General features: G+C 33.9%; 1 long non-coding RNA gene across 1 annotated transcript in view; it reads left to right on the top strand.

Annotated features, from left to right (window-relative positions):
• The window catches only part of LINC02147 (long intergenic non-protein coding RNA 2147), a 535,702-nt gene that overhangs the window by 277,158 nt on the left and 244,631 nt on the right, over positions 1-13,913 (top strand). The window lies entirely within an intron of this gene.

The following is a 13,913-nucleotide window of genomic DNA, read 5'->3' on the forward strand; positions in this document are numbered from 1 at the left end:
ATCTCAGTGAAGCCTTTCCTAAGATGTTGCCTCCCCGCTTCAAAGCTGTGAGATAATAATTTTGTAAGATAACAATAAAATAATAAAACTGTATTATAACAATAAGTGCTAAGTCACTAGGTTTGTATGTGTTTGTTACAGCAGCAATAAGATGTGAATAAAATAGTCTGTGATCACTTCTGTCATGGTCGCTATTAATATAATACATTAATACATGAATGTATTTCTTTGTTTATGTCTCCTATAGCTAGTAGAATGTAAACTTTGTGAACAACCATAATCAGGGCATATTAATCTCTGAGTTCTTATTCCTCAGTATAATACCTGGCATCACTTAGCATAATACCTGGTATGCCTGGTATATTAGTAGGCACCTAGTATTTGTTGCCTGAATGGATGAATAAAAAAAAATTGCTTGTCAGTATCTCTAATACCTAACCCATTTCCTTCAATCCCTGAGCTCCTACCCTAATTTCGGTGACTGAATGCCTAGAATAAATGAATCCTTCTGTTTTTATTTTTTTAACTTGAAAATAAAGTTTAATCTTATCTTATTTATCACCAGTGTGTCTTTGGACTATCACCCCAAGACTCCTTGTGAACTCTAGCCGCCTCCTTGGATGCCCTCAGCTCTCAGTATGTTCTCTAATTCAGGGAGTCTATTGAACTCTAACTATGTTCTCCTCCTTGCACTACAACCTGGAAACTTTTTCCAGTTAGCAAACTGCTGCAGTCATAGAGACCACCTCATTTGTTTTCTATCTTTCAGAAATCACTATCCTTCATTGCCTGATGTACAATATATTGATTTATGTTGTTGTATAGAAGGTAGAAAATAAAGCCAGGTGCAGTGGCTCATGCCTGTAATTCCAGCATTTGGGGAGGCTTAGGTGAGTGGATCACCTAAGGTCAGGAGTTTGAGACCAGCCTGGCCCACATGGTGAAACCCCATCTCTACTAAAAAAAAAAAAATATGAAAATTAGCCAGGCATGGTGGTGTTCACCTGTAGTCCCAGCTATTCGGGAGGCTGAGGCAGGAGAATCACTTGGACCCAGGAGGCAGAGGTTGCAGTGAGCCAAGATTGTACCACTGCACTCCAGCCTGGGCGACAAGAGCAAAACTTCACCTAAAAAAAAAAAAAGTTAGAAAATAAATTTTATACATGTCCTAAAGTCTATTCTAGCTGAGACAGAACCTCATTTCTTCCATCTAAAAATTGAAGTTTAACCTTTTCTTATTTATCACCAATATGTGTTTGGACTATCACTCCAAGACAGGTACAAATGAAAAGAAATTGAAGAATCATAGAAATAAGTATGTTAAAGAAAAAAAAAAACTAAAGAAAACCTAAACAACACTGGTTTTGTTTCAGGAACCAGAAGATGGGAGAGAAGCTGTAAATCTCTCTGGAGTCCAGCCTGAGTAAATAGCCGCCAGTGCCAGAGAAAGGGAGCCCAGATATAATTTGGGAGCTGGACTGGGCAACATCCTTGAATTGTCTGTCCTTAGATATACACTTCTGCCACACATCCCCACTATTGAATTTCAGCCATCAGTCCCTGTTTGCATGTCCCATGCCCACCCCAGGTGGTGGGAGCTACCATCAGTGACTTGTTAGACATTACTCCAGCACCCAGGACCTTAACAAGGAGTGATGTTTCCTGTCGACCCAATTTAGATATGAGTGTATTTTTCTGTGAAAATAGTATAATGTTTCCAATGAGGTTTAAGATATAACAAAAGGATTCTATCCATAATGTCTGTTGTGGGTAGAATGTATCTTTTTACATTGGTCTTTGAATTTTACCATCATTTAAAATGTTTTTATGGGAAATGACTTTGGGTTCCCAGCAGACTATTTAAATATCATACTGCATATAGCTCAAATAGAGTCTTGATTTGTAAGTAAATAAACACTTCTATCATGCCAAGTAAACAACTTTGGAAAAGGCATATTTTTAATTCATCAGAGGTTCAAAATTTGTGCAGAACAAAACTGAAATCTGACTTTTATTTACAGCTTAAAAGTTTCCTAGTGGTTTTGAAACTAGAAAATACAGGTATCTTATGCTCTCTTTCCCTGGCAGTGACACCAAAGAGCCACCCTACTCCAAAGTGCACTCTGAAAAAGGAACAAAGTCTCATTCGCCAAGAGCAATAAGAAAACAGCTTCAATTGCTTTTCTCCCCAAGCATCCCTTGTTTAGCATCGGCCTTCTTTCTCCCCTATAATGCCAGACAAATTAAATGATCTGGGCTACTGCTTGTTATTGAACATCCAAAGGGATTAAGTTTCAAATATTCAGCAATAGATTGATGCTGCTGGAAGAAAAACTGGAAGCCAATAAACTGCTAGATTGAGTTGATGGCTCCATATGTAATGTCATCTGAAAGAGTATGCGACAGTTTGCAAAACAAGCAGGCTTTAGGCAGCACAAGCACTTGGCTCAGGCATTTACACAGGAATGACAAAACTAGGTTTTTATGTCTGCAGTGCCTCTAACCCTATGATGGTTTTGTCACCATTTGGGCTTTTCTCCTATGGTGACCCAGCTAGCAAACTCAGAGCAAAGTGACCCAACTGAGAAGTAAACATTCAGCAGCTCTTGGCTCAAGAAAACAAACAAAATAAAATTGCATGACATTTGGGGTAAACATTATGGATTTGCTTAAACAAAATAAATCAGTCTGGTATTTCAAGACATTCACTAGTTCTAATACAATGGGAAAAAGGAAAACAGAAGGAGCCAGCAATCTCTGTTTTTTATCAGGTTTTATGTATAGGTAGCTGGCATAGCCAAGCCAGTTCCTTAAGAAGCTGTTCATCATCAACAAAAGAAAAGGAGATGGCACTATTTTAAATACTTTTCCAAAGCAATTATCTATTTCATTGTAGTTTCAGAAATGAATTTTGTTTTCTCCATCCTATAATTGTAATTATTTTCTAACTCCTTGAGAGAGATTTACAGTGACAAATGGGGCTAATATTTTTCATTGTTCCTTTTAAAATTTTCCACTTATGCCATTTATACTATAGATGATAGATTTGCCCTAGTTCCAAATCTACTTTGCAATAATTAAAGCAAATAAAAATATCATTCGGCCTGATTTCCACATGGAACTTGTGCTAAAAAAGTGTTTTATGGCCATAAAGAAATCACTGTACTGTTTATATGAACAGATTTCTAGCTATTGATCATGATTAAATTAATCATTTCCAAACATTTTGGTATAAAAACAATTTTGGCAGGGCAAAATCACTTTACTTTCCCTGGGATACTACCCGACAAATAACAGTATACTACTTCTAATAGCCTAGTTCTTGGTATTTCTCACACTATGGAGAATAGAACAGAGTGCTTTGGGCAAGGTGATGCAGAAGGGAGAGCAAAATCAGAGTTGGGAATAAATGATCTTCTTATTGAGGCTTTGTCTGAGTTCTCTTCTCCTTCTTTTACTTTGGAACATAGCTATGAATGAGAAGGATTCCATTGAAAATGGTCTATGACAAGATCCAGGTGTTAGCAACATCATTAATTCTACCCAGTCTCCTAACACTATATAGTCATTCTTGGCCAAAGGTAATTTCAACTCTTTCATCTTTTTCAGTCCTGATAATCATGCTATCTCCTCTCCTCTCAGTATATGAATTAATTTCTTTAAATTACAAATAGCACATGCTTCTTTGGGTATATTTTAAATAAGCAAAACTTTAAGTTGTCATCTTTCTTTTGAAGGAGTCTCTCTTCTCATTGAGACTTTTTCTTTCTCCCTTTCCCCTTTTCTTTCCTCCCTTCCTTCCTGCTTTTCACAAACATAACCTGAAGCTAATTTTACTCTTACTTTAACTTCTAAAGTTCTTACACTTTTGAACTCGGTCAAATTAGAAATAGATTATAAATAATTTGAGATTTGAAGAGCTAGTAATATACCTAGTATATGTCAAACAAAATAATTGTATAAAAAAGGAAGGTGGCACACTTCTTAAGGAGCTTTATTTATGAAATTGTTTTAGACATTTGCCTGATATGATCAGTTTATAAGCTATATCATAACGCTAAAACAAAGACTAAATTAATTCTTACTGAAAGTAAGCTACTCACAGAATATGGAATGTAACAGGAGGCAGGCAGGTTTCTATTTGAAATCCATTTAATATTTCTGTTTCTACCAAGGCTTTGTATTTTTCCTAATGTGCTGTCATCATTACTTTAATTTTAGTGCTTATAACATTCCAATCCATAAGCACATTTTAACTTAATTATTTTTATTACAAAGCTGTATTCTTGGAGAAACGTAGCCTCACCTATTGTTCTACTGTGTACACTGTGTGTACACTGCATAGTACCTGAAGCAGCAAGTACTAAACATTTTTCTCAGTCAACTCTGGGGTGCAATGTGAGATCTTCTTTTGATATATTCATATTTTTGTGAACCCTACATTCCACACCTTATACTATACTTATAAACAGAGTAAAGTTTCAAAGTCTGCTTTGATTTTTCCCCAAAATTGTGATTAACAATTAAAATGTAATACTTGGGTCTTGAGGAAAAGTTGACTTAGTTACAACCTAGCAGTATCACCTGGAATTTCTACAAAGCCATGAGAAACGTCAGGAGAATTCATTTCTAGTGCTGGGTCTGCTCCATATCAGCTAGGTGATATGAAGAAAGTCACTTACCATTGTAGGTCCTGAGCCTCTTGAAATATTAAATAAGAGGATTTTAAAAGCTGGTTTCAAAATCCACTTTCAGCTCTCACAGATCATAAGCCTTTGTTTCTTTGCTTGATTTGATTTTATTTTTAAATCAACTTTATCAAAGCATACTTTATGGATAAAAATATACCAATTTTAAATGCACTGTTCAATGAACTTTGACAGTTATATACACACAAATAACTAGCGATCCGAACAAAATATAAGACATTTCCAACTTCTCAGAAAGTGCCCTCGCGGCCGTTTTCAGTCAGTCCTTCCCCTTCCCCCTGACTGCAGGCAATCCCTGATCTGCCTTTTTGCCCATTCCTGAATAGCATGTATGTGGAGTCAGACAGTATGCCCTCTTTTTTGTCTGGCTTCTTATACTCACCCAAATGCTTCTACAATGTGAACATATTTTTGCATATATTAGCAGTTTATTAATTTTTTATTGATGGACTGTATTTCCTTTCATGGATTTATTATTTTGTTTACCTGATCATCTGCTAATGGGCATTTCTGTTATTTCTAGTTCTCAGACATTTTGAAAAAAGTTGCTCTGAACATTTGTGTGCATATATATGTACCGTCTTTTGTGGACATATGTTATTTCTCTTAAATACCTATGAGTGGAATTTCTGGGTCATATGATAAATATATGCTTAGCATGTAAACAAATCGCCAGTATTCCAAAAGGTATGTACCATTTTGATTCCTGACTGCAATGTATAAGAGCTCCAGATGCTCCAGGTCTTTACCAGTACTGAATACTGACAGTCATTTTTTATTTTAGGCATTCCAATGGATGTCTAGTAACTAGTCGTGGTTTTAGTTTACATTTCCCTTATCACTGGTGATAATAAACATCTTCTCCTTATGGACCATAAATGTATCTTTTGTGAAGAGTGTGTTCAAATCTGTTGTTCATTTAAAAAATTGTATGGATTTCTGTTTACAATTGAGTTATAAGAGTTTTTTGCATATATTCAAGATACATTTTTGGCTAATATGGATTTTCCAATACAATAATGTATTTTGATTATTTTCTCCAAGTCTGTGATCTGTTGCTCATTTAAAAAAATTACATGGATTTCTGTTTACAATTGAGTTATAAGAGTTTTTTGCATATATTCTAGATATGTTTTTGGCTAATGTGGATTGTCCAGTACAATAATGTATTTTGAATATTTTCTCCAAGTCTGTGATTTGCATTTTTTTTCTTACGTATGGCTTTTCAAGAGCAGAAGTTTTAATTTGATCCATCTTATTTCCTTAATAGCTAATGCTTTTTGTGTCCTGTCTTAGACATTTTCGTCTTCTCTAAGATTGTGAGCATTTTCTTCTAGGTTTTACTAAGAATTTTAGAGTTTCAGATTTTATGTTTAGGTAGACTATTTTATTTCTGTTTTTGGTATAGTGTGTGGCAAAGGTCAAAGGTTGTTACTTTCCGTCCTTTTATTCATCTGTTCCAGCACCATTTGTTGAAAAAAATATGTATTTCTTTCCCCACTGAAGTATCTTAGCACTGTTTTTGAAAGCCTCTTAACTGTATGTTTACAGATCCATTTCTTGACTCCCTTATCTATTCCATTATACATCAAACCTTAGACCCGTATCATAGTGCCTTTATTATCGTAGCTTTATGATACTAAAGATTTAATCAGTAGTATAAGTCCTCCACCTTGATTTTTCAAAACTATTTTGGCCATTAAAGATTTTAAAATTTTATTTAAATTTTGTAATAGGTTTGCCAATTTCTAAAAATAAATACAGTGTTATTTATGTTTGGGATCGAGTTGACTCTATAGATTAATTTCGAGAGAACTGATAATAAGATTGAGGCTGAATCAAAAAACATGGCATATCCCTCCTTTTTAGGTCTTAAATTTCTTTCACCAATATTTTGTACTTTTCTGAGTACAGTTTTTGCATGTATCTTGTTAAACATATCCCAAAGCATATGATGTTTTTGATAGTATTATAAATGTAATCTTTCCCATTTGTCATTTGATAATAAAAATGCTATCCACTTGTGTAAATAGAGATTTACTTATTCTGGACATTTCATATAAATGTAATCACACAATATGTGGTCTTTTGTGACTAGCTTCTTAGGCTAATGCTTTCAAGTTTCATCTTTATAGTAGCATGTAACAATACTTTATTGCTTCATATTGCTGAATTATATTATCTTGTAGGGATATGGCACATTGTATTTTTCCATTGATCAGCTATGTATTTGGATTGTTTCCACATTTGTTCTGTTATAAATAATGTTAGTCTAAGCATGTATAAGCTTTTGTGTGAACAAATGTTTTTATTTCTCTTGGATATATCCCTTTGAGTAGAATTCTGGGTCATATGGTAACTCTATGTTTAACCTTTTGTTGAACTGCCATACTGTTTCTGAAGGTGACTTTATAATTTAACATTCCCACCAGCAGTTTATGAAGGTTTCAATTTCTCCATCTTCTCACCAAAACATTATCAACTGTCCGTTTTTATTTTAGTCATCCTAATTGGTATGCAGTAGCATCTCATTGTGGATTTGATTTGTGTTTCTCTCATGGCTAGTTATATTGAAAATATTCACGTGCCTAATGCCATTTGTGTATCTTCTTCCAAAAAAATTTATTCAGATACTTTGTCCACTTTTAATTATTTCTTTTTCTTATTGAGTTATATGAGTTCATTGTATATTTTGGGTACTAGACTCTTATCAGATGGATGATTTGAAAAATATTTCTTCTACTTTGAGGGTTGTCATTTCATTGTCTTGATGGTGACCTTTGAAGCATCACAATTTTTCATTTTGATTATGTTCAATTTACCTATTATTTTCTTTGGTTGCATTGGCTTTTAGTGTCATATCTAAGAAACCATTACCTAATACAAGGTGATAAATATTTTTGCCTATGTTTTTTCTAAGAGCTCTAGAGTTTTAAATCTTATATTTAGGCCTTTGATCCATTGTGAATTATTTTTTTGTATATAATATGAGGTAGGAGTCCAATTTCATTCTTTTGCATGTGAATATGCCATTGTTCCAGCATTGTTGAAAATACTGTTCTTTCTCTATTGAATTGTCTTGATATATTGTAGAGAACTTATTGATTACAAGTATGAGGCCTTATTTATGGACTCTTAATTATATTCCATTGATTTATATGGTTATCATGCTAGAAATGCACTGTCTTGATTGCTGTAGCTTTAAAATAAGTTACTAAACTTTATGAATTTGCTAAATTTACTTAATTTACTTAATTGTTCTAGCTTTTGTATATTTTAAAGAATATTTTACATTTATGATTATATCATATTAAAATAAGCAATGTTTTACTTCCTTCTTTCCAAACTAGAAGACTTTTATTTATTTTTCTTTCCTGGCTAGAATCTGTGGTGCAATGTGAAGTGAAAGTGATGAGGTCAGTAAGATATATGATAAATCCCATATGGTTTGGCAGCCACTCCATATACTAAACAAGATAGTGAATAGATCAAAGTAAGTTAAAAAATTCACGAAGACACTGCTAAATATCAAGAAAGTAATTTGACAGTCAACTTCTCTGCATGCTTATGAAGCATAATTCTAAAAAAGTCAGTATTTAATATACGTCTCTTTTACTGCTATAACATATAAGGAGCTATACTCCAAAATTTTGCAATGTAGTTTCCCATAGAATCAGTGTCATGAACAAATGATTGTGTTCCCATAACAACACAAAAAAGTCTCTGTAACTCATGGTGATGGTACAGTGCAGCATTCAAGATTGGTCTCTGGAATGAAGCCACTGGACATTAAATTCAATCTATTCCTCTTGCAAACTGTGCAACATTGAACAAGTTATTTAACTTCTTGGTTTATCAGTTTACTTATCTATACAATTGGGATAGTCATATATCACCTGCCTTAGAGCATTATTTTGAATGTTTAATGAGATAGTGCACATAAAGTACTTAACACATTGCTTGGTATACTCAATACATGATAGTTATAATTTTACTTGGACTCAGGTACCCCTGAAACAAAGCATTAATTATTTAATGTGTTAATAGAATTACTGTGTTCACTAATTGAGTGAAACCTAACCAGAAAATGTTTCCATTGCTCCAAACTTTTGTATAAGTACGTCCTGAAATGATGGTATGTTAATTTTTACTACAGAAATCCCTACAATAAAAATAATAGAAGTATCCACAAGGGGTTCTCACTGCATTATGATACATAGCAAATTCTCCATTGGTCATATCCTATCATGTGTACATCCTTCAAATTATGCTTTATCAATTTGGTGTGATCCAAGAATTTATTCCATGTATGTACAAAAAAACAAGAGAAAAATAATGTCTTCATTCTAAAAAGAGTTCCTTAAAGACATGAGACTTCATATGTGGCTTAGTTTGGGGGTGTTTTTCTCTCTCACTTTTTTGTTTTATTTATATTTCCATTTCCAGCAGCTACAAAACTGTAGTCAAAATATTCAGAGTGTTAAATATTCTACAAAGACCAGCTGTTTACCCAACTGCAGTTTTTAAAATTAAGCTACTTGGATTGCAGGGTAGCAAAGGAAACAAAAGGTGGGGGTGGGGGATGTTGGATGAGCACACATGAAGGTGAAAGAATTTGTTTCTATTTTAAGAAAACTGCTAAATAGTTCAAAATACTGTGATATAGAAATCTAAAAATGTGTCCATATATTATTTATTCATCTAAGTGTAATCGACAAAATAAGATTGTCAATAACTTTGTACTTTAGTTCAGCTGTACTTTTCCAAATATACCCCAATTATGTCTTAACAAACGTCTTTCCTGTCTAAATAATAAACAATTTTTTAATGAAGAAACAATATACATCAAATAAAATAATAAAACAGTCTTAAAGATAAAATTTTTACACAGGAAAATTTAAACCCGAATGGACTTGGGATATGACTGAGTCATGTACCATATAACTGAGATAAATATTAAATCTCAGCCATCAGTTTTCTAATACAAATTTCATTTCAACCTTAATTATATCTACTCTCTTGGTACAGTGATTATAAAAATTCAAGGAGAAAAATATTTAAGAATAACTTGTCATTCATGAAGGAGTTTCAGTCCCTTTGGAACGTATCATGGTTCAATATGACTAGCACGATGATTCCTATTCATCACTTTGCTGGGTAAAATACTGTAGGCTTCTCCCCTCTCATCTCCACCTTATTAAGAAAACTGTGAAGCCATATTTTTTCTCTTTTTGCCTACTCTTACTAGAGTAACTATTAATACTGATATGCTAAAACATAATTTCTATGTCTTTAGAATATAGCACATGTTAGGAAACATGTTAATAAGGGTAGTTTTTGTCCGAAGTTAAAGAAATATAATTTTTGGTTCAGTGTGTGTGTGTGTGTGTGTGTGTGTGTGTTTGTGTGTCGAGAAGCAGAGCGAAAGAGGACAGAGCACTGAGTTAGTACGCAAACATTATTGGCACACAATTAAATGCTCCATTGTCATTTCTAAACAATAAATTCAAACGTGTGAAATCACAAAGAGTAACTGGCTGTCACAAACTCAGTGAGGAAGGATTTGTTTAGAGAGAACAGCATGATCCAGATGTGGCATGCCATTCTTATTCACATTTGCTAAAACCAGCTCCCTCATTCCATCACCTAAAGGACCCAAAGCTTATGCACAGTTGATCATGGACATTCCTGCAGCCCTTGGAGAGTAGAAATTATTGTAGTTTATGCACAGCCTGCATCACCTAGATGCCTGGCAACCTCTCATATTTCTCCTTTCTCCTATCTATTCTACCCAGCTTCCCTACTCCAAAGCTTCCTGCTTTTTTTTGTACGCAGCCCCATGTCATCAAATCAACAAGTCCGGATAAAGTTGCTGACCCAGGTAGTTGAGTCAGCAATTCTCATTCATCCTGGATCCTCACACTCTTCGTAGTGAATCACCTGAAAGATGAGGAAACATCTTTCTTCTTTCTTGCATAAAAGACTAGCTTTCAGTATTGCCTGAACTGCCTCCTCCACCAACTAATGATAAGTAAGGAAGAGTGAATAAAGCAAGTCCCCTCCTGCCCCTGTCATAAGGTTGAGAAAGAACAAAGTAACTGCAAGATATTCAAAGACTGAGAACTTCCATACTGTCATACAGACAATCAGAACCTAACTTGTGCAAAATTGGTCACTGAAAATAGAGCAAACAGAAGTTTCACAGTGCAACTCTTCATTGTCAGGAAGCATATTTTCTGAAGTTTTCTTTTTATCGCAAGGAAGTATGAGTCTATATTCAAAGCTATCTGCCATTTTACTTTGGCATTTGTAAATCTAGTATTCCCTATAGTGCAAATGGCCAGAAACCCTGTAGTAATTCTCAAAATAAATAAGAAACAGACTGTTACATGCCATCAATTATATATTTTTTATCAGAATAGGAATTGATTTTAAAATTGTTATATACCATCAATTATATATTTTTTATCAGAATAGGAATTGATTTTAAAAGATATTGTAAAAATTGCATGGAATACTATGTTTATGAATGTATGTAATTTATATATAATGGGAAGGCATTTAATTAATTACCACCTCTACAATAAGTCTTACCTCTTATTTCTCACTTTTTAACTATAATACTCACTTTATGCCTGTACGCCAACATTTTCCTGTATCCCAAGATATTTTGTTTTACAAATAATTTGCAAGTCTAGCCTTTCTCTACTGACTTCATTAATTAGATACAACCCTCATATGATTAATCAATATTTTCAGGTGTGGCAAGTGTTGTATAACTCTTCAAGCTTTCAGAACAACTTCCTACCAAAAGCCTTCAAAACAGCTTTCATTTATAAATTTCTCTCAAGAATACTTACTACTGGTTCTCTTCCACTTGCAAAACCTCATGGGAAGGTCCAATTTGCCTTTCCAATTTTTTATATTTTTTCCTAGGCTGCTTCTTTCACCTCATGATCAAAAACATAATTTCTAAACATAGATAATGTTATTTCTTCACTGTAAGACCTCTTAAATAATAGATAATTAATTTCAATCCTTTCTCAATGAAGCATGAAGACTTTCGACAAAAGCTCTTATCGCTTGCTAAGGTTAACCATACAATTTGAACAGAAAAGCCTTTTGTTTTTCAACTCACAAGAAAATGTTTGATGCAAAGAAAGATTTGCTGGTTTTTGAAAGAATATGATTAATAATAGATTCAATCATAGGACTGCATCAAAGGTTCAGGTGGAGAAAACGGGAATGAAATTGATAGAAGAAAAGATGCTTAGATGATGCAAATTAGGCTAAAGAATAATATAAAAGGATTAGCAATCAGTGAGTCAGTTTTTAATTAAAAATAAAAATTCATGAGATCCTGTGTAAGCATTAAAGTACAGAAAGCTAATATTTGTTCATAAAACCATCTCAATGAAAGTTGAAAGCAGAATATTAAACTATTAGACTACTTATGAGATAGAGCAAAGAAGTTCATTCAATTCCTTAATAAATGGAAATGGAAAAATATACTCTGAAAGGAAAAAAATATGCAGTAAATGCCTTATTAAACATACATTGAGCACTGAAATACAAGATTAACAAATACACTTTGTAGGATGATTTTCATTAGAATAATAGACTTTTTGTTTGTACATTTTATCCTTATAAAGATATGATTTTTTTCTTCCTCACTCCCTACAGTTCCCTAGTCATTAAGCCCAGCTGGTCTTTCTCCATAACTTTAAAATATGTCTCCTTTTCATTCTACAGGCAGTATCCTAATGCAGACTCTATCATTTCCTATCTGAATTCTGATTGTGGTCTCCTAGCTGATCTTTCTGCTTTTAATTTTTTCTCCATATAATTCTTTTTATCTCCCACTTCCAGAGTAAATCCTCTTTGGTAATGCAGTTGCCCTTTTCTAAAACCCTTAGTAAATCTTTGAATCCTACTAAATAAGTTACGAAAATTTAGCTTAGTGCTAAAGGCCTTTGGCAAACTGATCACTGCAAACCTTGTCTCTACTTTTCTCTAATTCCCTGTGCTATAGCAGAGCTGAGCTACCTGTCAGGACCTGCACATATCTCATGTTCTCAGACTTCTTGGTTTTGCCCCAGTCATTTCCTTACCATGAAATGCCATTTTTTTTTTTTTTTTTTTTTTTTTGAGACAGTCTCACTCTGTCACCCAGGCTGGAGTGCAGTGGCGTAATCTTGGCTCACTGCAACCTCTGACCCTTGGACTCAAGCGATTCTCATGCCTCAGCCTCCGGAGTAGCTGGGATTACAGGTGCATGCCATCACGCCCAGAAAATGTTTGTATTTGTAGTAGAGATGGGTTTTAGTCATGTTGGCCAGGCTGTTCTCAAACTCCTGGCCCCAAGTGATCCACCGGTCTTGGCTTCCCAAAGTGCTGGGATAATAGGCATGAGCCACTGTGCCCAGCCTTTGGAATGCTATTTTTATCTCCTTTGTCTGTATCTGAATTCTACTCATATTTTATAGCCTTCTCAGCTGAAATGTCATCTCTTCCATTTTTGTTCATATTTCTGAAATTGAAAAATATCTTCGCCTGTAAACTACAAGCTTCATTTTGGCATAAGTAAAAATCATAAATCGTACTTGACCAAGTGCCTTGTATTTTCCCAGTCCTGGCACTTTACCTATTTGTTTCATCTACTGTTTCTAGATGTCCAAAGCACCAAGCCTAGGACTCTAACATACCAGTGACACACTGAACTACTGTTGAACGAATGAGTTATGTACAAAAATTCAACTTAGTGATGAATCATGCTTTGCATGTGTATAACCATAGTTGTTGAGCTTACAAACTAATTACCAACAAGTATTATTTATAATCTCCACGTTACTTAATGAGAAATTTACCAAACATGTATATCAAATGATTAGCACAGTGACTAGTAGATACTAAGTGTTCAAAAATGTCAGTTGTTGTTATTAGTATTAAGAGTACTTGTATTAGTAGTATTTGTAAAATAGGTTGTGTTAGAGCTTATGTTTTGCTTTTCTTAATCGGTTTTGCATGTTTTCACTCAATGGATTTCAAATGTATTTACATAAAAAAGTAAAAAGAAAAATATGAGGAAATTAGTAGAATGGATTAATGTTAGGATGCTGATAAGACACAGAAATTAGAAGTCCAGCTTCCTAATGTGAAAGGGAGTTCCTTTTTACTCATCTTTCCTAACATAAGGGCGTCATG

Source organism: Homo sapiens, chromosome 5 (assembly GCF_000001405.40).
Source record: "Homo sapiens chromosome 5, GRCh38.p14 Primary Assembly".
Taxonomy (NCBI): domain Eukaryota; kingdom Metazoa; phylum Chordata; class Mammalia; order Primates; family Hominidae; genus Homo; species Homo sapiens.